This window comes from Homo sapiens, chromosome 2 (assembly GCF_000001405.40).
Source record: "Homo sapiens chromosome 2, GRCh38.p14 Primary Assembly".
Lineage (NCBI taxonomy): Eukaryota > Metazoa > Chordata > Mammalia > Primates > Hominidae > Homo > Homo sapiens.
In genome coordinates, this window is record NC_000002.12 from 162,721,647 (window position 1) to 162,748,600 (window position 26,954).

Below are 26,954 nucleotides of genomic sequence, written 5' to 3' on the forward strand. Positions count from 1 at the left end.
ATAACATGTAATTAGTATGCTTTCATTATTTTGTATCTCAAGTGCTCTAAGTAAATTTTTTACACCAAATTCAAAGACATTTTGAAGGCCTGAGGTCTCATTTACGGAAATTAAAAAATTTCAGGTATTATAAAAAATAATTAAGAATTTCAAATAAGTATCTGATTATCTTTATTTAAAAAAGAAAATCAGAGCTATGTTTAATGTTTCAATGAAGGAAAAATGATGGCGGAATAACTTTAAGTCCTACAAAGTAATTATACATAATTAAAATAAAAGAAACAGTAGAAGGTGATTATGTTAAAATCTTTACAGAAAAATAGTAATATTGAACACTTTTGTTTTTGCCATATATAAATTCTAATCATGACATACTTCTTTATGATGACTCTAGGGGTCAGCATTCAACATTTCACTAGTACGTATTACTAGTGTAATAGTCAATACCACTAAGGGAACATAAGCACACGGGATGAAAGAAACATATAGACACTTTTTACTAAACGAACCAAAATTATTAGAAAAGAAAGTTCAAAACATTAAAAATAGCATAGTAAGTGTACTCAGATAGTTTAAGGTAGATATAGTGATGAAGTAAGAAGAAGAAGTCATTAAAAATATTCAAGAATAACTAGAGAAATAAACAATGTAATGTGAAATGCATATTAAAGTAGATCAGAAAAGTACAAGATGAAAAAATCCAAATAATAATTTACTGAATAAGAAAATAAAATTGATGTACTATAACAGAAGGCAGAAGAAGATAATCAGAAAATAGTAGACTTTTTTTTAAAGAGAAGCAACTTTTGTTGAGAAATCCACTAATAGCCTTATGAGGATGTCTTAATATGTGACAAGTCATTTTTCTCTTGGAGTTTTCAGAATTTTTCATCTGCCTTTTTACAGTTTGATAATAACATGTCTCAGTGTAGACCAGTTGGGTTCATCTTACTTGTGATCTGTTGAACTTCCTAGATGTGAATATCTATTTCCTTCACCAGATGTGGGAAGTTTTCAGTTATTATTTTTTTGAATAAGTTTTTGGCCCTTTCTTTCGCTTATCTTGTTCTGGAACTCACATAATATGTGTGTATATTGGCCCATTGATTGTGTCCCATAAACTCATCATCATGTTTTCTTCAATCCTTTTCATTCATTCTTTTTTTCTTTTTTTTTTTTTTTTTTGCTTCTCTGAGTAATTTCCAATGATCTGTCTTCAAATTTGCTGACTTTTTTTTTAACCTAATCTAGTCTGCTGCTGAAATCTTCTAGTGAATGTTTCAATTCAGTTATTGCATTCTTCAGATCCAAAATTCTGTTTGGTAAATTTTCATAGAATTTCTGTTAAAATCCTCAGTTTATTTATGCTGACCTTGGTATCCTGTTGACCTTGTTGAGCATCTTTATGGAAGATATTTTAATTTATCTGCCATAAAGATGCTATTTTATTTATATATAATTTAGGTAAATTATATATCTCTTTATTAGTGTTAGTTTTTGGAGATGTATCTGTTCCTTTGGGCCATAATTTACCTGTTTCTTCATTTCCCTTAAGTCTCTATATTGTTACATGCATATTAGTAAAAAAAACCACCTTTCCTGGTCTTCATGAACTAGTCTTTTACAGGAGAAAACCCCCACCAATCAGCCCAGACAGAAACTCCACAGGCCTCTCAAATCCTCTCTTGTGCATGTTTCTTCTCTGGAGTTGTGCATGTACATTGCCAATTGAAGGGATATCCAGTAACAGATGAATGAATAAAGAAAATGTGGTATACAAAGAAATATTATTCAGCCAGAAAGAAGAAGGAATCCCTGCCACACATGACAACCAGGATAAATCTTGGAATGTACCACCCAATGATGAAGGCAGGGGGCTACCATATTATTTTTGCTCAGTTTAACTTTAGCAACTTTGCTAACCTATCCTACTAACTCTAATTGTTAATTCTATTCATTTTTCTATAGAGTCACACTGTTTATAAATCCCAATGTTGATCAACTTTTCAATCTTTATACTTCAGTTTCTTTTTTTGTACATATATGAGGGAAATTCAAATATATTTAAAACCCAAATGTAAGAGGTAAAAGTATAGTTATGAAAAAATAATTTTCAAAGAATATCTTGTTACCCACAGGTGGTGAGGAATTCTTTTAAAAAGTATACAGTATATAAAAGCACATTAATACCTTACTTTTGGGGCCAGAACTATGAAGGCTACAATCATAACTAAGGACCAATATACACAGTTTCAAATATAGGTTATTGTTATATTTTCCTGGGAAGATGAATTTGACAATAAAATTATTGGTTGAAAGAGTTAGAATGAAAAGTTTTCTAATACCTGCAGTTTATGTTGTGAATTTGGAAAACGAGTTAGAGCAAAACAACAACTTTGGAGTAACAGGTAATAATGAGGTATAACTTCAGCCTGTCTAATATCTTTTTAGTTTAGAATGATAGTTAATTTTCTAGACCTGTTAACATAATTTAACCTACTCTGTGTATGTGTGTGTTTGTGTGTGCGCACCTCATAGTCTTAACAATGAATACAGTAGCCTCCAATTATCTGCCAGGAATATGTTCTGAGACCCCTAATGAATACTTAAAACCACAGAAAGTGCCAATTATTTCTATATATTTTTTCCTATACATACATACCTATGATAAAGTTGAATTTATAAATTAGGCACAGTAAAATATTAACAATAACAAAATAGAATAAACATAAGAATATACTGTAGGCCGGGCGCGGTGGCTCACGCCTGTAATCCCAGCACTTTGGGAGGCCGAGGCGGGCGGATCACGAGGTCAGGAGATTGAGACCATCCCGGCTAAAAAGGTGAAACCCCGTCTCTACTAAAAATACAAAAAATTAGCCGGGCGTAGTGGCGGGCGCCTGTAGTCCCAGCTACTTGGGAGGCTGAGGCAGGAGAATGGCGTGAACCCGGGAGGCGGAGCTTGCAGTGAGCCGAGATCGCGCCACTGCACTCCAGCCTGGGCGACAGAGCGAGACTCCGTCTCAAAAAAAAAAAAAGAATATACTGTAATAAAATTTATAGAAATGTGATCTCTCTCTTCCTCTCTCTCTCAAAATATCTTGTACTGTACTATACCCACCTATTTTCAAACCATGGTTGACTACGGATAACTGAAACCAGAGGAAAGAAAACCATGGCTAAGAAAGGACTACTGTATAGTCAAATAGATATTATAGCAACTTACTGCATCAAAGGAAAAGGTTACTTCCTTAAATCCTATGCAGTATCCCCGAAAAATACTTTTTCTCATGACTCACTGAAGTGTGTTTTATTTTTGGAATGTCTTCTGAAAAGCTAAGGTCACATCAGCCAACAGCTTGCTGATGAGAATATTTCTGTAATTTGAAAAAGAAAGTTCGTAAGTCAAATTTTAGCTATAACTGTGGTTTTCTCAATTCAATGGTGTTTAGAATCAAAGAAGATTATTTCAAATATTTTGGATAAGATTTAGTTACAACTTTGAATTTGAATAATGCAAACACAAATTTGTTATTCGTAATACTCATTCCTATACTTTATATTCACTTTGATTATATGCAATTAATCATATTCCTATTGTAACTGTTTAATAAACAGTATAAATAGTATCACATTGATAAAAAAGTCTTCCTTAATTTTTTTTTGCAAATTATGTTTAAATTGTAAAAAGAAACATTTATCACCATGTCTGCTTACATTTTATAGTGAATGTTCTTTAGGGCAGAATTTTTCTTTTAAAATACATAATTATAACCAAAAATCTTTAATCATAGGGTAACTGCAAGCATTCTGGAAGATACATTCAGAATATGTTCATACAACTTTCATGCAGTCTTTTTACCAAAGGTACTCTATATTATCTGAAGTTTAATTATCTTGTCTTACTCAATCTCTTCTCACTATACTAGAATAATAGAAGCACTGGGAAGTTATTCATGAACAAGACCATCAAAAGGGAGAAGGCAAGCTTTTGTTTTATTTTGTTTTGTTTCTTTAATCACTCCTATCTAGGTCTTGTCTGTTTTCTTCCACAAGTGATTTTGCCCAGAGGGACATTATGAAACTTTTTTGTTGTGGAAAATTTTGAATCTATTCACAATAAGAGAAAATAGAGTAAAAACACCCCATGTAGAAAACACTCAGCTTACATAATTATCAACTCATGGGTAACTTTCATTTTCACCCTTACCTACATCCCCCATGCTTCAGATTTTTCATAGCAAATTCCAGATACCGTATCATGTCATCTGCACATATTTCAGCATGTATTTCTAAAAGAATATTTTCTTTCAAAACAAATGCACAGTCACGATTTTATTATCATGCTTTTAAATATTAGCCAATCAATACAAAAATTTCTCTGATTTTTAAAAAATTGTTTAAATTGGGACACTAGTCCACTCATTGCATTTAGTAGAAACATACCTTATCTCTTTTGATCTATAGATTTTTACCTATAAATTTTCATCTATAATTTTGATCTATACACTAAGCCTACCTCTATTTTTCTTTCTTTTTATATATTTTAAACAGTATTTTAAACTGGGTCATTTGTTCTGTAGGGTTTTCTGCAGTGTAAGTTTTGCTGATGGTTATCCTCAGATACCAAATAAGGTAAGTGTTTATTTCCCTTTACTTGCCAATTTTAAAAAGAATGAGTTGGTTTCCTTGAAGAGTAACAATGAATTTTTACAAGTATTATTATAAACTCATATACATATTTCAAGGGTTTTAATCTTGGAGGTTATTATTATGACTATTATTATTTTTGAGATGGAGTCTTGCCCTGTCTCCCAGACTGAAGTGCAGTGGCGCCATCTCGGCTCACTGTAACCCCCGCCTCCCGGATTCAAGTGATTCTCCTCCCTCAGCCTCCTGAGAAGCTGGGATTACAGGTGCCTGCCACCACGCCCAGCTAATTTTTGTATTTTTAGTAAAGACAAGGTTTCACCGTGTTGGCCAGTCTGGTCTTGAACTCCTAACCTCAAGTGATCCGCCCACCTCGGCCTTGTCAAGTGCCAGGATAACAGCCGTGAGACATGGCACCCAGCCTATTATTCTTTTTTAATGGTCAAATTGCCCCATTTTTGGTGTGTGGAAGGCTTTTCAATTGGCTTCAGTATCTTTTGACATGTTCTTAATGGCTTTAATAGTTTCCTTACTTTCTGATACGACATTCTGGGCTCTATGTTCATTTGCCACCCTAGACCTGAGTGGTCAGCTATTTTCCCAAGGAACACTGATTCATTCTAATGGGAAGTGGTACATAAGAACTACAATGTAATTATTGGGGAGGGGGCTTATCACTGCAGCTGAATCAGTTTTTACTTTTAGGACTTGTTTTTCAGTAGATAGGGTTGTTTTTCTTTAAAGATCAAAATATCATGCATTCATACAGATACTTTTTATTCAAATTTAGCACTACAGAGTTTTTACTTAAACATACCTATCTATGTCTCTTTCTCCCATAATCTACTCCAAAAGTCCTGGTTTCCAAGGACAGCTTAATAGCTTTTATGCTCTCTACTATGTATACATACAAAATTCTTAGAATAACAAGAGTGATGTTACTGATAAAATATGCTTATATAAAACAGTTTAAGATTTTTTATTAAGATTTTTTTGTCTCAGGGCACAACATAATAGAGATGTATAACAAAATTATTTCTGTTTTTAAATTCATGTTAATAAAATATAATTAACATGGAATAATATTGACCCATTTGTTACAGTTTTGACATAGGTTTAAACTCTACATAATCAATATAAAAATCATCACCATGCAATTTCCCTTACATCTTTTTGTAGTTGATCTTCGTCACCCCACTCTACCCATAGTCCCAGACGTTCATTGATGTACTTTGTTACTACAGTTTTACTTTTTAAAGAATTCCATATACATAGAATACTACTGACTATTATTTACAGAGTAATGTTTTTTCTCCTCTATTCCCTCAGCAGGATGTTTTTAGGATTCATCCATGTTGTTACTGTCTCCTTTTAGTAGCTCAATAGTATTCCATTTTATGGATATAGAACAGTTTGTTTACATACTTTCTTGTTGATGAACACTTGGGCTGTTTCCAAGGTTTTGGCTATTAATATATTCACTATAACAATTCATATATCTATGAATGTAGGTATATGTTGAAACCAAGATCTATTTCCAAATATCAGTTGAACTTCTTAATACCAGGAATGAACAAAAATTGAAATTTTAGCACCAATGTATGAAAGGATTTTTTTAGGATAAGTTTAGCAAAATATATGCAAAAGCTACTCACTGTAAACAACATACATATATTGAATGTGCATATATATATGTTCATGAGTACATATGTTTTCATTTCTCTTGGGAGAATACCCAGGAGAGGAATTTCTGTGTCATATGATATGTGAATAATTAATTTTATTTTAAAAACTCCTTTTTTTTCCATTTTCATCAGCAGTATATGACAGCTCTAGTTGATACACTCACTTTCCAACATTTGGACTTAATCAGCTTTTTTTTTTTTAATTAGGCATTCTAAAACGTAAGTAGTGGTTTATCACTGTGATTTTAAGTTGAATTTCTCTAATGACTAATGATCTTGATAAATTTTTTATGTGCTGTTTTACCATTTGTATTCTTCTTTGGTGAAATGTCTCTACAAAGATTTTGCCTGTAAAATGAAGCTGTTTGAGTGGTGTTTTTTATATTTTCTTTATATATTTTGGGTTCAAGTTTTATTAGAAATATGTTTTCCAAATATTTTTCCCAGTAGGTGTCTTGTCTTTTTATTTTCTTGATAGTGTCTTTCAGAAGAGCAGAAGTTTAAAACTTTGATGAGGCCAGGCGCGGTGGCTCATGCCTGTAATCCCAGCACTTTGGGAGGCCAAGGCAGGCGGATCACCTGAGGTCAGGAGTTCGAGACCAGCCTGACCAACACGGAGAAACCCTGTCTCTACTAAAACTACAAAATTAGCCGGGCTTGGAGGTGCACGCCTGTAATCCTAGCTACTTGCAAGGCTGAGGCAGGAGAATAGCTTGAACCCAGGAGGCAGAGGTTGTGGTGAGCCAAGATTGCGCCATTGTACTCCAGCCTGGGCAACAAGAGTGAAACTCCATCTCAAAACAAAACAAAACAAAAAACTTTGATGAAGCCAAGTTATCAAATATTATTTTAAAATTCATGGTAATTTTGGTCTTATTTTGAACATCTTTGCTTAATGCAAAAGTATGAAAATTTCTCCAAGATTTCATGTAAAATTTATAGTTTTACCTGTCATACTTAGATCAATGATCTATTTTGAGTTAGTGTACATGATGTGAAGTAAGGTTCAAGTTTTTTTTTTATTTTTTTAAACAAAGATATGTAACTGTTACAGCGCCATTTGTTTAAAAGACTGCCCTTCCCCTATTACATTACCTTGGCCCATATATATGTACATCTGTCTCTCGACTCTATACTGTTTCATCGATCTATATGATTGTCATTTTGTCAATATACCCAAATTTTTTTTTTTTTTTTTTTTTGAGACAGAGTCTCGCTCTCTCGCCCAGGCTGGAGTGCAGTGGCGCGATCTCAGCTCACTGCAAGCTCCACCTCCCGGGTTCCCGCCATTCTCCTGCCTCAGCCTCCTGAGTAGCTGGGACTACAGGCGCCCGACACCACGCCCGGCTAATTTTCTCTGAATATACCCTATTTTGACTTTTTAGTCAAATTTGAAATCAAGTAATATATGTCCCCCAATTTTGTTTTTCTTTTTTTCTTTTTCCATAGTTGTTTTAGTTAAGCTACATCTTTTCTATTCCCATATACATCTTAGAATCAGCTTGTCAATTGATATTTGAAAATTGATCTGGTTTCAACAGATTTGGTAACCTCATTAATTAGTTCTAGTAACTTTTTTATCATTTGTGTATACAGACAATCTTACTTCTTACTTTCCAACCTGCATACTTTTAATTTCTTTTTCCATGCTTTTAAAACTAGATAGTGCCTTCAATAAAATGCTGACTATAAGTAATAAGAGTGGACATTCTTGCTTTATTTTCATTTTGGGGGGAAGTATTCAGTCTTTCCTCATGAGATGTGATGTTATTAATAAGCTGTATTTTAAGGTGTCCTAAAGTTTGAGAAAATACTGTTTTATTGGCCGTTTTCTACAAATATGGTTACTGTTCTATTGGTTGGTTTTCATGCTGGGTGTGTGTTGAATTATTTTGTGAAAATTTTTTTTCTTCATCTCCTGAGATGATCATATGGTTTTCCTATTTAGCAATAAAATCAAGTCTATAAAATAAGTAGCTTTAATTATATCACATATAGAATAAGAAATTGAAAACATAAAAAAGCAAGTTAATTTGAACAGGTTGATCTTAAAAAATATGTAAATACAACGTGTGAAAATTATATTACAGTAATAAAAGTAAAAAAAAAAGAATGGTTTAAACATTATATTAGACATGGCCAAATTAGAAAACTAGAAGATGTCGAATGAAAAAAGATGAAAAATATGAAAGAGAAATTAAGAACCATGGATCCAAAATATATCTAGTAAGAATACTAGAAAGAATTAATAGAATGGAAAAGAGTCAATATTGAAAATGCTTATGATTGAGGGTTTCCCAGAATTCTTGTGAAACATGAATTCTCAGGTTTATAAGTAAAAGAAATTTCAAGCAAGATTAATTAAAAATTACATACTAGATACTTTGTTATGAAACTGCATTTCCTAAATGGGAAATCAACAAAACTAGGAAATGCACAAATAGTATTAGAAGTGAAAGACTCAAAACTAAAGACAAGCAATTTAATAAATCATTAAAGAATACTATTATAAATTTCTATATTGACATTTTAATATTACTAACAAGAAAATAGATTACAAATCTGAATAACAAATGACAATTAAGACAATGGAAGTAACAGGTTAAAAACTGTTCCTTTCCAAATATCCTCCCTCCAAAACTGGCCAATAATACTCATGTGGTGTGATAGGCAGTTTTTACCAATCTTACATAAAGCATAGCAGACACTAGAAATCAAGAAACTCACTGATTCACCTAATCATTCTAGTATAAACTTGATATAAAAACAAAACAATATCAGCGGGAAAAAGGAAAATATGTTCCAGTGTCATTCATGAACATGGATACAAAAATCTTCAACAAAATTAAAAGTGATGAGACAACTGGTTATCAAAATAAAGAAGAAAGGAAAGCAGAAAGAAAACAGAAAGGGCAGGCAGGCAAGCTAAACTAAAATTGGATCTATCCTTATAATATACACAAACTTGAATTGCAGTGAATTATTGACCTAATATGAAAATTAAAATATATAACAAAGTATAAGAGAAAAAATCTTTATTTTATCAGAGCAAAAGGATTTCTTAAATGAGATGCAAAATGTAAGAGAAACAGTTGGGGAAAGCTGACAACAGTAGAAACATCTCTATCAGAAAAAGAAAACAAAATCATAAGTAACATGGAAAAAATAAAGTAGAGACTTGAGAAGACCTTCTGCAATGCATTTTGACTCTTAAAGGATTCATGTCCTGCATACATACATATATATATATATGTGTGTGTGTGTGTGTATAATATTATATATAATAATATATAATATTAGTAAAATTTATAGCACAGCAATTCCACTTCTAATTGATATACACAAAAAAATTTTTGCACATGTGCATAAGGAACTGCTTCTATAACTTTGTTTGAAATATTGAACTAAAAGAAAATAAAAGGTAAAAAAGAAAACCTAAATGCCTATAAACAGAATATTGACTAAGCAATCCTTGTATATTCATTCTATTGACTCCTATACAGTAATTAAAATAAATGAACTTGTGCTACAGGTATTAATTTGGGTGAATAAACAAATAGTGATCAAGAAGTTCACAGTGCAGAAAGTAGAGCTATTTTATAATATTTTATAAAACAAGCAATATGATACCTTATTTTTATGGATATTTGCTATGAAATGTCCATGAAAATATTTATGAAAATATAAAATATTTATGAAAGCACATAAATATTTATGAAAATGATCTATACTAAATTTAGGGTTGCAGATACATCTGAAAAGGTTATAACTTTATAGAGGGCAGAGGAATACAATTAGAGGGAGTATATTTAAAAACTGAAATAATTGCAGCAAAAGTTAAATTTAGTAAAGCTGGATGGTAGGTATAGGGATATCAATTATATTACTTTCTGTGTTTGAAATATTTACTAATTACAAAAATATAAATATAAGAAGAAGCCTGTGGGCTTAGAAACTTGAACTGTTAACTCCTGGCAGATAAAGTTGGCAGAATTAAGGCACTTGAGTTTTCAGCTAAATGGCAAAGTAAGTTAACAGTAAGCAACTACAGACACTAGGCAGATGTTGAAGGGGCTTTCTAGGGATACCTTGCTCTCCTCTGTGGCCATAGGGATATCACTGTCCAGAGTGGTGTAGGGAGCAAGATGCACTGGCAGTGGGCAAATTCTAGGACGATTTAGAGGGACTACGTGTGAAGAGGATGGCAATACTCTTCTCCCTTTTCTGTAGCAAAGTATCTCCTGAGCTGATATTAGTAGTTAAGGGGACATTCGACTCATGACGTGACAGCCTCTGATGCAGACTGTGAATGAGAATGCCACCAATGATCAAGGACCTGTGAAACCAAAAGGTTTTATATAGAAAAGGAAACCGAAAGTAAGTTAAGCAGGTACCCAATATATAGATATCTTATTCTTTGATCTCTTTCTTCAAAAGGTATACTACCTTAGAGTTAGTATATTCATATGGATAAGGAGCGTTTCACATTTATCCAGTTACTGGTTAAAGATAGAGTGCTTTAAAAGTCACATTTTAGGGATCTGGTAGGTAGAACTAAACTGAATGCAAGGTACAATGGAAGGAAGATAGAATTGAGAATCCTGTGGTCTGCATTTTCAATTATAAGGTGCACTCACATCAGCAAGTCACTGCTTCTTTGAACCTCAATATCCTCATTTGTAATAGTAAAATTATAATTGTTAATATCTGTCTCAAAGGATTACTGTGAGGTTTGAATAGCATGATGAGATATGGGCAGTAGCTCTTTACAAGTTTTGGGTACTTTTGTTATGCCTGTTAGAAATAGAAATTTCTCCCACTTGTAAGCTGCTGATTCAGGAAAGTGTGGGTATCTCTTTCTACACCTCCATCATTATTCAGAAACTGTGGTCAGTGAGCCAGATTTTGCCTGAAACAATGTTTTGTTAATCTGGCACTTTGTTTTAAAATACTTGAATTCATTGATAACATTTGAAATACAAAGATTTTATATAAAATTCCAGATTCAGAGCTTGTCTCGAAAATTTGGCATATTTAGCAACAGTGGGAGTCCATTCCTTTCAGACCTGATATAAATTCTTATACTACACATGGTATTAGAGCTCTGGGGCCAGGACTTTCCAGGAAGTGGGCTTGGCTCTCAGAGCTATGAATCGACAATCATCAGCTCCCAGCTTCTTTGAAAAAACAGGTTTGGTGACTAGGTTGCCAATCCTGTGTGAAAGCAAATAAACTAGAGCTGAGTAGTTAGCATGGATCGTTCCCAGATTCTCTATTGTCTATATTTTGTCTTCTTTAAACGTATTACTTTAGCCCATGTAGATTACATTATTGTTCAAAATATTTGTTAAACCCCTCCCTATTGCAGGATTGTTTCTGCCCAACTCATTGACATCAAGCTTGGCCACATAACTTGCTTTGGCTAATGAACTGGGAAATATACCACATCTAAGCAGAAGCAGTAAGAGCCATCATGTAAATCTGCCTTCTGTATTTTTCCCTCAGCCAAGGGATCAGGATTTCCCCAGATGGGGGATGATCTTCTAGTCTATTCTCAGAACAAAGATAATACAAAGCAGTGCTGAAACAGACTCATGACGTGCATGTAGCATGAGCCAAAAGTGATTGTTATTGTGAGCCTCTGAGACTTTGGTATCATTTTCCATCACAGCAGAACTTAGCCTAAGCTAACCCATGCATCTTTTCAGCTCCTTTGGCATTTTATTTTGTCAGCCATCAGCAGCAATCTCCTGCCTGCCTAAAAAGAAGGAGCATTTGATCCAGTGATCTGAACCTGATTTTTTTTTAAGAAAGGGAAGTGAATAGAACAAGATAGAAATATCCACTTGTTATGTAAAATGGTATAAATATTTCCTCCTTAGTTTGTCATCTAGAGTAAATTGAATGTAAATTAATATTAACTGAAGTCTCACCATGTACCAGGTATTTTTCATACTTTACCTCATTTAAACCACCAGCATTACTTAAATGTATAGTTACTGCTTTCCCCAGTTTTCAAATAAGTAAATTGAGGCTCAGAAATTTAAATAACTGGCAGTGACTATAATTTGAATGGATATATTTTTTGGTCCAAAATTTATGTTTTTTTTTTCTAAACTCATTCCATTATTAAATTGTGGATTCTAGGAAGTCTTATTCAAAAAGCTCTACATAATAATATGGTAGCATTTTTGAGTAGAAATAGTAATTCCTTCATGAATCTGGGATATCACATGATAAAATTTATTTTTTTCCCTCCTGGAACAAAGATAAATACTATGTATAGGAAAATATGGTGGCTCTCTCTTTTTTTATAATGCTGCATATTATCTGTAAAAGAATTAACAATTTAGAGAACTATGCTTTGTTTTTAGATTATGACCTTTTTATGTTTTTATAACAATTTTTAATGAGAAATTATAGTGATCATAGATGTTAATTTTATGTAATGTCTTCATCTGCAAGCACTAAAGCGACATGGTGTCAGCTCTCACTTTTTGTCGATATTGCGTTTTTCCTGCCCATATATGATGGGATGTATTTTGAAACATTATGCTGTTTTTTTCCACCATGATTCTCTTCAACATGAAAGCCCTTCCTCCCAGAAAGATAGTGTGGCACTCCTTGCCTTAGGTACAGATTTTTAAACAAAAATTGAGTGTTTTGTGTTTCAAAATGGACTTTTCAAACTCATGGCATAAATCATTGGAGAGCATTTTTTTTTTTAATTTCAAAACCATGGCTTTAAATATTAAAAGCCAGAGCTCAGTAGGACTCAATACATGAAGTTTATACCATAAAGCATAGTCATAGAAAAACATCTGATTACTTGACAGTGATTTTTCTTGCCAATCCTTTTAACATATGAAAATAGGGACTGGAGAGAGTGGTGTTAAAGGAAAGGAATCACAAATGAAAGCAACAAACTTAGATGTTGATGGGAGTCTTTGAAAAGAAATTTTGAATCCTGTTTCTTATTCTGCCTTGCATCCAAGCCTAGTAATCTGGTGATCTAAAAGCCAGCAGAACCTGTCTCTTCCTCCCTGGGACACGACAAGGCTTACAGTAAGTTTCACAGGATGTGAAAAAGTAAGCAATGGCTATGATCTGTCTAGACATGCAAGACACACTGCTCACCAATCACTTTGAAACTGCCTTTGGAGAATTATAAGTAATGAGAGAAATCTAATATGAGTGACTCCATCTTGCTTCTAATCTCAGAAGCTGAATTTGTTTTTGGTTACTCTAGTATGAAGGCCAAGAAAGCTATGAGAGGAATTCACTTCATAAACTCTGAGGCAAAGGAAATTGAACCCTCTCCTTGTTCGGAGAGTGAAGCCACATTCACATGACAAGGTTAAAATTATAATAGGAGCTTGAATCCTGCTAAAGAATAAGCATAGTTAAAAAATAACCTGCCATTGCTTTGCTTGCTTTCCTATAAGTTGCTTATGGCACCAGAGTCACATAACCAGAAGTGACAAGATTTATAACTTCCCCAACTACTCCTATAGATAATGTCACTATTGCAAACTTTAAAGAATTGGCCCTTGAGGTATTTTGCAGATTTAGTATTTTGGTAAACCTTCTACCTTGTCCTGAAACCTCCTCCTGGGAAGTGGCTCAAACTGTGCTAAGACAGTTTAGACATTTCTGTGATTTCATCCCCAGCCAAATATTTTAGTTCCCCAGTTCCTCAGCCTTCTGCTCACAAAATTACCCTTAAAAAGCCTAATCTCCAAATTCTTAGGGAGGCAGATTTGAGAAATACCTCTTATCCTTCACTCGGGTGGCCATGCGATTATTAAACTCTTTCTTTATTACAATACTTGCTGTTCTCAGTGCATTGGCTTTTCTGAGCAATGGGCAAGAACAGCCCGTCAAGCTGTGACAATTTTACACACATAATATGCTCCTTGAGAAGGGCTTAGAGTTAGCTGAGAGAAGGCCAGCAGAGCCTCATGGTCAAGATAATTGAATGTTGAAGTACTTGTATGGGCCAATGACTTGACCATGAATGGAATGGACAGTTTAGGTAATGTCTGGTGGAACTGATGTTGATGATGAATAATAATACATATAATAAAAAATCAGTGAATGCTTTTCCTGTTAACTGATGCCAACCTGGCCAGGTGGTGAGGACTCAGGACTAGGTCTTTCTCCCTGAGTCCACTGGCAAACCTGCAAGGAGAAGAGAAGGATTGGCACACTGACTAAAAATCCTGTTTGGACTAAGAAAACTTCTCATGCAATGAGTTGCTTTTTGAATAGAATGGAATCCCATAACCAAAATTAAATGTGATTATAGAAAAATAACTGAAATTAAAGTTATGTTTTTGCATGTATTATTTTAAGAACTCTAAATTTTTCACTCATTACAAAGGAGCTTCAAAAATCTGGAAACCTGTGGATGTTGATGCCTTTGTGATTCCCATCAGATATGATTTACATCAAAATAGTGCCTTTTAAGGAAGAGTGTTTTGTATAAGAAATGACTGAAGGTGATTTGCTTTTATAAAGCAAAAGTGAGAGATTATAGATTGAGGATGATGTTGCTGATTGGAAATTACCCCAAAGGTAAATGATTCATTGTGGCTAAGGGACATTCATACAGCTCACCTATTATAGGTGATGTGATGCCTTCTAATAACAGGGATTGCTGCAATTTATGAGGTGACCAAAGTCACAAAAGGACAAATGGGTGTTGGACTGTTGTAATGGTTAATCAGAGGAAGATAGAGAGCATCAAGCAGTACCCTCAGAATTTGAAGAATGACAGCAAGAGGCAATGGAACTTTCTAAAGAAAATGAACCCACTGTAAGGCCACTTCTGTAAGATTATGTAGTTATCTTTACTGTGGTTCTGCACAATGACTAGCAATTAAACCCTTAAAAAATAACTTTTTTTTTCCTGAGGATTCAGCAACTAAAGTAGCTTTACTGGGGAAGTATATTCTTTTTATTACCCAATTATATTCATAGATCGAGGCACCTAAAATAAACAAAAACAAAGTAAGGACTATGGTTCTGGAAATAACACACTCCAAACTCTAACTAAGAGAGAAAGAAAATCTCAAAAAAGACTGAGATTTTGATCTTCTCCTAAACTCTAAGAGGATCATGTGTACAACTTCTCAGTGAAGCATGAAGCCCATTTCCACCTGCTTACAGAAAGGGTAGTTCCAAGCACCTCTGGGGCTAGTGATCCTGGTCTGTATGAGTTGGCTTTCTCTGCCTTGAGTTAAATGGGGGCCAAGAGCAGTAGGTAAGGGCTCGTAAGCTCTAAGAGAAGCAGCTGCTAATGGGTTCAGAGAGGACCCTGTTCATGCTTATAGATCAGAAGAGAGAGAGTAGCCTTGCAAAACACAAGGCCAGAAGGAGCCTTGTGTTTTCAGAAAGAGGACAGGAGACATGGAGACCAAGGCAGAGTGACAGTGAGAGTATTCCAGTATTCCAAGCATTCTCAGAAATATTTGAGGAAAGAGTCAAGGTTCTGCTATCATTTGGGTGCAAGATAAAATATAGAACTTTAGCTATATATATTGAAATAAATAAGACCCCTCTTAAGGAATATATATGCAAGAAGACTAAAATAAGGCCTTCCAAATCACATATTGTATTTCAGGAAAATTATATTAATGACTAATAGACAAAAATAATAATGTTCAAAGTAAATCACAAACACTTTACTGAGTCCAAAACAATTTTGGTTTCTCCACTATTAAGTACAGTCCCCTGCTGTAAGGTAAAGTGGGCCAAGCACAGGATGATACAGCCTGGCATTTGAAAATAGTTGTGAAAGGCTGGGTGTGGTAGCTCACGCCTGTAATCCCAGCACTTTGGGAGGTAGAGGTGGGTGGATCACTTGAGGTCAGGGGTGGGAGAGCAACCTGGCTAACATGGTGAAATCCCATCTCTACTAAAAATACAAAAATTAGCCACGTATGGTGGCGCATGCCTATAATCCCAGCTACTCTGGAAGCTGAGGCAGGAGAATCACTTGAAACGGGAGGCAGAGGTTGCAGTGAGCTGAGATCACACCACTGCACTCCAGCCTGGGCGGCAGAGAGAGGAAGACTTCATATCAAAAAAAAAAAAAAAAAAAAAAAAGTTGTGAAAAAAGAACAGCTCTACTTTTTGCTACAACAAGATAGAATCTTTCTGTGTAAGTTTCTTTTAAAAATTCTAATCTTAAAAGATAATAGTCAAGTCATTGGTCATGTTCTGATGATATGTGTGTGTGCATATATATATGTGTGTATGTATATACACATGAATGTCCTGTTACTCCTTGCATGCAAAGACCCTACTCCCTCTGTGTATAACTGCCATTGAGTAAGCTCATGACGACCTACCCTTGTTGACTACCAAGAAGTCTCTGCCAGAGTTCTTCAGCACAGAGGAGCATAGCCCTTATACATTAAGATCGTCACTGCCCTAATTTGACATTTTTCAAAAGACAAGTTCACCTTGGTGGTTTCATTTAATCAGGGTTCTCCAGAACTTGCTGACAGAGGCTTTCAGACTCAGTCAGGAGGTACAGCTTCATATTGAATGTTGCCTAATCTGACCTACTTCTTCCCAGAAAACAAGAGACCCACAGGAAACACTGGAACTGAGTTGATGCTGATAGAGCACATTGGACAAAAGCTCAAAAAAAGAAAATCAGTGTGTTTGTCCTTTATTCTGGTATCTGTCTGGCTGTTAAGCAATTTCTTATCCTTACTGAGATTAATCCATAAAATTGGCTAACACCTACTTCATCTGGGCTCCTTGGAGGATAACTAAAAGAAATAAATATAAAACAGCATTTAATACATTGTAATTGGAATCTCTCTCTTGAGAGCTCGACAATAAAGTTGCCTATATGCCTCCACCCATATCCATGCTAAACTCTGTTGCAGTTTATGTTTTTTATAGGCAGGGCATCATTTTCATGAAGTCTAAGTCAGACTCAGCCTAATTTCTAGTTCATGATCCTTCCGCACTGGATCCCCACTCTGACACACCTGCTCTGCTTCTTCTTCAGTGTGCTAATCACAACCTGTGCGGGAGCTCAACTTCTCCTGAGTTCCCCTTGCCTACTGTCATTCAGGCCCTTCTGAAATACTGATGCCCATCTTCTTTGGGAGCCTCAGATGCCCCCTGTGTGCCCCATATCTTATAAATGAGCTTCTGCCTTGGTGCCCATTTTCAATTACTTTTCTCAAAACCTCCCTTGTATGCCTGTTCTACTCTTACTCTAACTTTCCTTCTCACTATATTCACCCTAGTCTTGAGGGCTAGGAACACCATGCTTCAAATTCCTGCTAAATGGCCAAGGACTACCTCCCAGCTGATGTTATTCCTAATGTCAACTGTCTACTCTCATTTCTGATTGTTGTCGCCATGGATTCTTAGATACCTCATCTGACACATTGCCAGCCACCCCACCTGAATGTTCTTTGTTTTTGCCTTATCACTGGGGCACCATGTCTTTTCTACCTGCTGGTTTTGCACCTCTACTAACTGCTTCCATATCCACACCAGTGGGAACCATGCTGAGCTGTTGCTGGCCTCTGGAATACATTGCTCCAGGTCCTACATGGGGCCCAGTCATCAGGTGAACCTCCCCAGGATTTTTCTGTCTCCCTTAGAGGCTGGGACCTGCAGTGAGCCATCCCAGGCCAGGCATGTTCCTGAGTGAGACCTGATCATTGGGAGGGTCTCCTCAAAATATTTCCATGTAGCTTGGTCTGGCCATAGGGGTGGTTAGAGTCCCAGGCCCCATAATATTCCTCCTATCTGATTCTACTATGAGAAATACAAGGTCAATAGCCACATTGAAAGATATGATCATTCAGACCTAGTAAGAAAAGACACATCAATGAGATATGGATATTAGGATGGCAGTACATGAATGAGCAGGGCTGGGTATTGATTGAGTCCAAGTTATTACTCATTAAAGCACTGTAAATGGGGAGAATTAATTGGATTGCAGAAACTAATCCAAATAAGAGGAGCCAAGTAGTTCACAGACCAGTGCCCCAAGAGGCCACTATGTCAGAAGTAACAGACAGGTGTGACATGTCAGTACCTGGGGTGGTTCTAGTTCCATGCCTGGTACTTAAAAGCACTGATGAATCAGTGAAAGATGATAATGTTAAGTTATCATTGCTCAGGTAAAACCATCCTTTTGTGTCAGGACCCGAGCCAGGAGGTGGACACCAGGTATGTATGTGTTGGAATAAGGTGGGGTGAAGAAAAAGTAGGAGTCAAATATTCAAAGGAGGCAAAGACTTAATACAAAAATGGGTCTGGAGCAATGTCCTAGTCTTAGGTAAACCTGAGGCATTAGGCAGCTAATAAAGCAGGTATTGTCTAGGAGTTAGGAAGCATTGTGAGTGAAAGGCCAAAGTGAGCCCACGGCTTCTTCCAGGCACAACAGGCACTGACAAGTTTGGTAACTCAGGTGGCTTCCAATCAGCACCAGATGGGAGTGGGTGGGTAGGCTGACCTGCCTCAAAGACTGGAGGGAAGTGAGTTTGTGTCTGCAGGCAAGATTCAGGAGTACATCGAATTAAAGAGAAAGGCACAGAATACAGAAAACTTTATTACAGTCATACCGTGCTCAACAACGGTAATGATGTTTCAATAGAAATCAAATTTGAATCCTGAGACTGGTGTACTCAGCCTGTCAATCTTACAGCAGGTCCAAGTTCTCTTAATTCCTGGCCAGATCTTCAACAGTTACCTTCCACTCTACATCAGGGAATGCCATCTAATAACACTCCTTGAACTTTCTGCTCTTTCCATCTCTGTGACTTTGCTCTAGTCCCTCAACTGCAATTTCCTTTCCTCTTCCCATTACCATTCCAGGCCCTGCCAAGTCATTGGAAATGCTATGGATCTTATGGTCAGTGTGTACCTCTAAAGTACTTTTTCGGACTTTCTGGGTTTGGTAGTTTTCTCTATGTGGGTTTGTTGTCATCTCAAGGACTTGGATTTTTCCTAGTGTTTATTAGGAGTTCTCTATGAATCTTGATTCAAAAATCTTGCTATGATATAGGCTTCAGAAATACATGATAATTGACTAACTGTTATGCAGATCCAGATACAACTTAACCTAGTCTTCTAAGTATAAAATTAAAGCCATGCTTTGGAGAGGGGTATTTAGTTTCATGTCATGGCATAGTGATATGCTAGCATTATACATATTAATAACATATGTTATTAATTATACATATTAATAACATGTTATTAGTTATACATATTAATAACATATGTTATTAGTTATACATATTAATAACATATGTTATTAGTTATACATATTAATAACATATGTTATTAATTACACATATTAATAACATATGTTATTAATTATACATATTAATAACATGCTATTTTCATGTTAAATTAAAAAGCAAAGCAAAAAATGAGAGCAAAAGCATTTTGTAATAGAGTTGTCATGTATATTTTACATTATTATACTATACAATGTTATATACCATTGTATTATATATGATTTGATGTTACATGCTATGTGCTACATATTAAATATTTTATCCATCTATCACAACTGTTTTACCAGCATGCTCATAAATTTTTGTAATTCCATTTTAGTCAACAGCCTGGTAATTGATTGCAGGTTCTACATGTCAAGTATGAACATGTCAGCTTTTATAATGTTTAATATTTCCCTTTTAAGAAATATGAATAACTAGCAGTTCAAAACATAAACATAATGGTATTTTATGTTTATGTAGAGTTTTATAAAACACTGTATTTCTCAAGGCACTTTCCTACATCATTAGAACCCTTTACAAAATATACAGTCATTTTTATGAAGCAATGTGAGATATACATAAGATACTGAAACTTTTTAAATGTTAAAATGTCTCGTTTTCTTGAAGTTAATATAATTTATTTTCTTTAAAGCAGTCATGTTTCCTGTGAATAGATTTATAGATGCATAGAATGGCTGGATTTCTTCATACTTTGTTTTGAAAATATATTTATTTTATCACTTGATGTGGGATAATCAGTGTTCCAAAGCTTGCATGGAGAATAACAAATGTCTTTAAGAGCAGGAGATGATTTTAGGTACAAATTAAGACATCAAAAGTTCTGCACCTGAAGACCACATCTCTAGATATTTGCCTTGTTGATTCTACCAGAAACACAGTTTTAAGGAATGAAATAACCCAGAAGTAGGAGTGGTATGGATAGTTAAGATCCATGTGACCTGGAAATGATCTAGAGCAATGGGTGTCATAAGAATGACACGAAGAGTTGGTTTAATTTATCTTTTAATTTATTTTTTTCTCTTTGATTTTATATTTGTTAATGGAGTGGTTGTAAAATGGGCTTCCCCTCACTTCCTTTCTTAATTTTTCCTTTTGTTTCTTCATTGGCTATAAAATAAAATACTTTTTCTTATTATTAGAAGTTAAATGTTCACTTGAATCTACTGTTGATATAAATATATTTGGCATATTTAATCCATTCTGATATCTATGTTTTTGCACATTACACTTTTTATATTTCATTCCTTAATAAAAATTGAATGCTTTATATTTTCTTTTTTCTCTTGAGAACTAAAAGTTTTAAAAATATTTATTCAGAGAAAACATAATAATGTTAGGCAAATTATCTGCAATTCAACTAATTGTATGTTTAAAACAGTACAGATATTTTCACTTTAGGCCTTATCCTTTTCACTCTGCATTACAGTATTAACTTTCTACTACAGAAGAGAAGAAGGAAGAGAGCAAGAGACCTCCCTATGATATAGATGGTACTCTTGAAGTTTAGCAAAGATACATATCTTGCTTGTGACATATGTTAACGGCTCTTGTGACAAAAATTAGAGACATGCTCCAATTCAGGTAGTGGAAGGATTTTTTTTGTTTTCTTTTGTTTTAAATCAAGATAAAAAGTACAGAAGAATAAGAACTGTTTCAGAAGTAATACATTCAGGTTTTAGGTAAACTAGAATGTTATTCTTTGCTTTCAGTAACCTGACACAGGTTATGGGGACCCAGCAGAAACTCTAATTGTCAGCCATATTTGGTGCTCAGGCTTCCCTTCTGTGAGTCTCTCACTAGTTGCTGCTGCTTCTTATTTCATTGATTTCCCTCTCAACCCACGCTCTCCCTGTTAGTTGCTATATACCTCTGTATGACAGAGTCTACCATCTGCATCTCTCTCTGTAACTGGTTACCATGTTAACTTCTGGCAAGTGGAACTGAATGGCCAGAGGTGACAGCCTTTTTGCATACCGTTTTTAGCATTTTGAATTGTGTGCCTTGTGCATTTGTTCAAAAAATAAATAAATTATTAATTTTAAAAAAGCTTCAGAAAGAGCAATTTCTAAGTGGTAACAGTAAGTAAAAAAAGGGAGGAAAGAAAGAGAAAGAAAATAAAAGATGAATGCATTTAAGATTAAATAAAAGTGACAAACCAGAGGCTATTTTCAAAGTCAAAATTATATTAAATAATGTAGAATGTTACCAAAGAAAAAATGAAAAAATTACAGAGCACAAACTTACTAACAGAAGTAAAACTTGGTTAAGAACTGGAATCAAAATGTAGGGTCACGGAACATAGAATACCAGATTTATCATATTTCTGGTATTAAAAATTAGAGGTACATAAAATGTTTCAATGCAGTGGCTCTGTAAATCAATGGACATTGTTAAAAGATAAAATTTCAGTAGTCTAGAGCAAATTGTCAACAATGACAACAAATACAATAAAAATAAGAAAGACTGATTGTAAAGATGTCCTTAAAATTTAAATTATGCCACTCTCGAACACCAGTTCCTTGGTTACTCATAAAAACCTTAATCACAGAGTAAGAATTATGACACATTATCAAGAAATGCATCTAAAGAGAAATAATATATTTTAAAATATTTTTTCATATATAATACTAGTGGGTAAAACGGAATAACCACCTTGACAAAATTATCTAGCAAATTTCACATTCATTTAAGTTCTGGTGAAATGGATTTATTTCAAGATATTTTACAGACACCAAGGGAGAGACTAGTTTTCTACTTCAAATCCCACATAATGCACGGATTCGCCATACCCTGAAAATGCTGATGACCCAGAAATCATTAGGGAGGTAGAACAATTAATAAAGAAATAGGAAATAAATCATCCTTGCAAAAATATCCATTTGTCAGATTATGGAAAATCTGACAAACATGCCTGACTACTTATGTCTCAAATCACAGAGGATTTAAAAGACCATAAGGGCCCACCTTGTTAAATGCAATATAAATTGTCCCAAAATACTCATTGTCAAGGAGAACTTGATAGCATTTTTATTGTATGAAACAAATGTTAATTTTTGATAATTTCTCCAAAATGTATAATTGCTGTCAATAAAACCTTTTAAGATTAAGCAACAGCCTTTCTTTTCCCTCATGGTTCTGTTATTTTTCCTTAAATGCACTGTAATTAAGTTCTCCCCAGGTAAACAAGCTTCCCTACCAGGCAGGTATTCACAGTTCCACCTAGTTCTCAAAACCACATTCTCATTAGCTGTGTCCTGACCGTTTAGTTCTACACATACAGTTATATTCTAATTCACAGAACTTTTTTTTTTTTTTTTTTTTTTGATACGGAGTCTCGCTCTGTCGCCCAGGCTGGAATGCAGTGGCGTGATCTCCGCTTACTGCAAGCTTCGCCTCTCGGGTTCACGCCATTCTCCTGCCTCAGCCTCCCGAGTAGCTGGGACTACAAGTGCCCACCACCACGCCTGGCTAATTTTTTGTATTTTTTATTAGAGATGGGGTTTCACCATGTTAGCCAGGATGGTCTCGGTCTCCTGACCTCGTGATCCGCCCGCCTCGGCCTCCCAAAGTGCTGGGATTACAGGCGTGAGCCACCGCGCCCGGCCGACAGAACTTTTAATTACAACTCTAACCTGTGATTCCAGAAACAAGATTGGTGTGTCAGTCCTGCTGATACTCAGACACCACTTAACTTTTTGGCTGGTTCCCACATACAAGTAAACAAACACTTTGCAAGAGAAGTTGGAGACATGCTCATTGGTTTTTGCATATCTACCTACTGATATTCAGGCAGCTAAAATTCTCTAAGATGCTTTGTACCTAGAAGACATTAAAACACTGAAATTTGAGAATATCCTTATATTAATCCTTGACTTTTTGTGAACTTGACTAGTAGAGCTTCTAGCCCATTAGAGACCAGAGAGAGCATACAGAGGGGTCTGGTTGACAATCATGAAATATGAAGCAATTTGACATAGCCATTTGTCGATTCAATCTCAATTCTGTTTTAAGCTTCATTTACCTTAAAAGAGGCTCACTTACCTCTACTCGTTTACTGCATTTGATCTAGGTTTTATAACGGCAGCTTGACAAAATAAATGTCTTTACCTGAAGGCTTTTTTTTTAAACTAAAGAACCCGTTATTTAGAGCAAATAAATGACAAAGAACATTACATAGAGTATCTAGGAAGTGATGTAGGTTAAGCCTTCTAATCTAGATTTTCTTTTAGTTTGAAAATAAAAATCATACCAGATAATTTCAATAACAATTTCCTTTAAACAAGAAATAGTAAGCATGACTTCTATTGCCTTTCTTTAAATAAATTTTCTTGGAAAAATCAATAGTCACCACAGAAGACATTTTCCAGTAGGACAAACTTGATACTAAATATAGTAGTATAAAATATATGGCAGTATACCACTTTCTACTTTTGAAGTGTTTTTGTTTAATCATAATTTAAGACAACCAAAATTTAAAAAAAGGTAATATATAATTTATTCTAAGCATGTATTAGATAAAACATCTCTACAATTCTATATGTCTTAGATTTTTTTCCTTTAAAAAAAATCTTTCTGCTTTTTCCCAGTTGATGTTTAGATTTAAAGAAAAAAAAGTATTAAGGAGCACTTCAGTGTGTTGCATGCTTTTTTTTTCTAAGCCAAAGTTTGCTACCTCCCAGCTCAGCTAACATATTGATACTGAAACTGATGTAACTTTATAAAGACTATTATTTTTACATATGAAGAATTTGCAAAATGAAACTAATAAACTTTATTTATTATAAATCTAAGGTAAAATGTCACTGTTGTAGTCCCTATATTTGAATATCTTTAAAAATAAGTATAAAACAATTATTTTCCTTTAACCTCCCTTTCTTTTGATATATTGGTTTTTAGATTTTCAAGCTGGAACTTTGATATAAATATGGAAATGGATATTGTGGAAAATGGGTTTAATAATTACAAAATTCACTGTGGATTGCAGCAGAATCATTCTTAATAATGCTACGGTAAAATTTAAGATACTCAAATAGTAATTTGTCATTATAGCCTGTAAAAAGATGAATGATTTGGACAGTAATGTTTTGAGTGTTAACATATAAAAAAGAATTTTAGTTAGAGGTCAGAAAGTATTTTTATCTTTAAAATATTTATAGTGAATTCAGCTACAGTTCCTGTGGGTTCTTGTCCCTAGAGGTTTTCTCTGAGATTCTGGCTTAAATGAACCAGAAAACTCAAACTCAAAACTCATCTCACACTGCCAGACTTTACACTTTTTTTTCCCTGACATAATAAATCACACTTGAACAGCCCAGATTTGTTCAAAATTCAAATTTCATGAAATCACTAAGGTTTTGAAAGTTTAATGAAATCTGCTGTAAACCTAAATCAGATATGGAAATTCAAAGTCAGATAAAATATCAATAAATTTACACAGTAAATATGGTGTAAACTATGAGTAAATCATCTTTGCTTATTTTTATTTCTGCAAAGAAAACTTATGGATAGTATAATTATCACAGGAAATTTAAATGACAGCATTGTAAAAATTAAAACTTGAGTTGTCCATGAAGCCTTTCAAAATTGTCAGGATGAAATAAAAGAGGAAAAAAACCAGCAGAGATTCTTTTCTTCCTCTTTCTTGGATTACCATGAAGTTTTAAATGATCCTTTTAGCCACTGATAATTAAAAATCTAGATTTTTATGTCCACATGAAAGTGATAAAGGAGTCAAAGTAGCAAAGAAGAAAAAAAGTATGAAAATTCTTAATCACTTTGTTGGATAAAGATACAAAAACTGCCTATAAAATATTCTTAATGCATTTATTTTCAGAATTTTAAACTTCAACTCCAGACTGTAGCAGACTGAGTATTCCATTGAATGGAGAAGGAGCTGGATGAAGAGATAAGAAAAAAAAGTCTTAAAAATATGGTAGCAAAAAAGCCATCTGGTGTGAACAGCAGTTGAATGAGTAAGAAAACTGTGAATCTTAAAAAGAAGCTTTATTTAAATGGGGGTTAGGTTTTGAGGGTTTAACAACAGTGAGAGTTAAAAATAATAAAAGAAACCATCAAGAACTTTGATCTGTTAGCACTGAAAAGGACAGAAGGCAGCATCTCATTTCTTGGGAATTATTTCCAAGTGTTTTCAGAAGCAAGTACATATTCTATACTTTTACTACTGAGAACAAGTGGTTATGTTTTTATTGCTTCTTGTTGATGTGTTTAAAAAGTGTTGTTTGTACATTCTAGTTGGGTGTGAGTTGAACAGCTGGGATTTTGTGGAGTGACAGCGAATGTGTAGGCAGAACTGAACTCAATATTCCACCCAATAGTCTAGTTCAAGAGGGTATAAGACTGGCTTGCTAATTGAAATCACTCTACCAGATAAATTGAATTTAAAGGCTTCCTGTAAAATGGAGCACACTGCGACTGAAAGCTAGCAAAACTAACCAGGTAGTTTGATGTTATGACTTCTATTATAGAATGGAATCCTCGATACTCATATGCACCCAATACTTATATAACATTTTTAAAGGAAAAATGTTTTATATCATGACCCAGTGTCTCATAAGAACTACTTAAAGTACTTTCTACAGTGGTCCAGAAGGAAGATGCACAAATGTCTATAAAGTGCCTACCTTCACTACGAGCAAATACTTATTCTGATTTTTTATTCTTGGCTTTCTTGGCAGCCCCTTTATGGTTTACAGCCCCTTTATGGTTTACAGAAATGGTTACCTGAGAGCCAAAGCTAATGGTGAACTTTCAAATTATAATCTTTGGAGATAAATAAGAATATTTTACAATGAAAAGTCTTTAAAAAGCACTAAACACTAAACACGGTTTATGTAGACTTACTTGCAGAAGGGAAAGGCAAATACTCTTGGGACCTCATTATTTCATAGCCCTTGGGGAAATCCTGTGGGGTACCCAGAACACAATATAGAACTCTTTGTACCATAGGGTTTTGTTATGGCTTCTGTGTATGTGTCTTAAGTGTCTTCACTGTAGTTTTAAAATTCCATATGCTACCAAGTGATATCCAGGTTGAATTTTTCATGTTTCACATATTTTTCATCTAGAACAATAGTTCTTTCACTGAGATGAGATGGACTAAGTTTTTATGCCCTTATCTAGTTTCATTTAGTTTCTCATTTTTCAGTGCCTAGTCAAGCTGTTTGATGAACAATTTTTTTTTGTGTGTGTACATGTGGAATATAAAATACCTATGCCAAGGCACTAAAGATGAAATGAAAATAGAAGACTCCTCATGCATTACCATTATCTAAATGTAGTAGTCTTATTGATTCAACTGGCTAAACAGACATTC

The 26,954-nt window shown here is 34.4% G+C and overlaps 1 protein-coding gene across 7 annotated transcripts in view, besides 3 other annotated features; it reads right to left on the reverse strand.

The window, feature by feature from the left end:
* Positions 1 to 26,954, reverse strand: part of KCNH7 (potassium voltage-gated channel subfamily H member 7) — a 467,361-nt gene that overhangs the window by 350,240 nt on the left and 90,167 nt on the right. The gene's annotated exons all lie outside the window — the stretch shown is intronic.
* Positions 10,360 to 10,539: an enhancer, noted in NCBI's record as "active region_16720". NCBI's record gives its function as "activates an Ori minimal core promoter by ATAC-STARR-seq in GM12878 lymphoblastoid cells {active_cell/tissue: GM12878}" and the evidence as "EXISTENCE:reporter gene assay evidence [ECO:0000049][PMID:35858748]".
* Positions 10,570 to 10,779: an enhancer, noted in NCBI's record as "active region_16721". NCBI's record gives its function as "activates an Ori minimal core promoter by ATAC-STARR-seq in GM12878 lymphoblastoid cells {active_cell/tissue: GM12878}" and the evidence as "EXISTENCE:reporter gene assay evidence [ECO:0000049][PMID:35858748]".
* Positions 11,686 to 11,915: an enhancer, noted in NCBI's record as "active region_16722". NCBI's record gives its function as "activates an Ori minimal core promoter by ATAC-STARR-seq in GM12878 lymphoblastoid cells {active_cell/tissue: GM12878}" and the evidence as "EXISTENCE:reporter gene assay evidence [ECO:0000049][PMID:35858748]".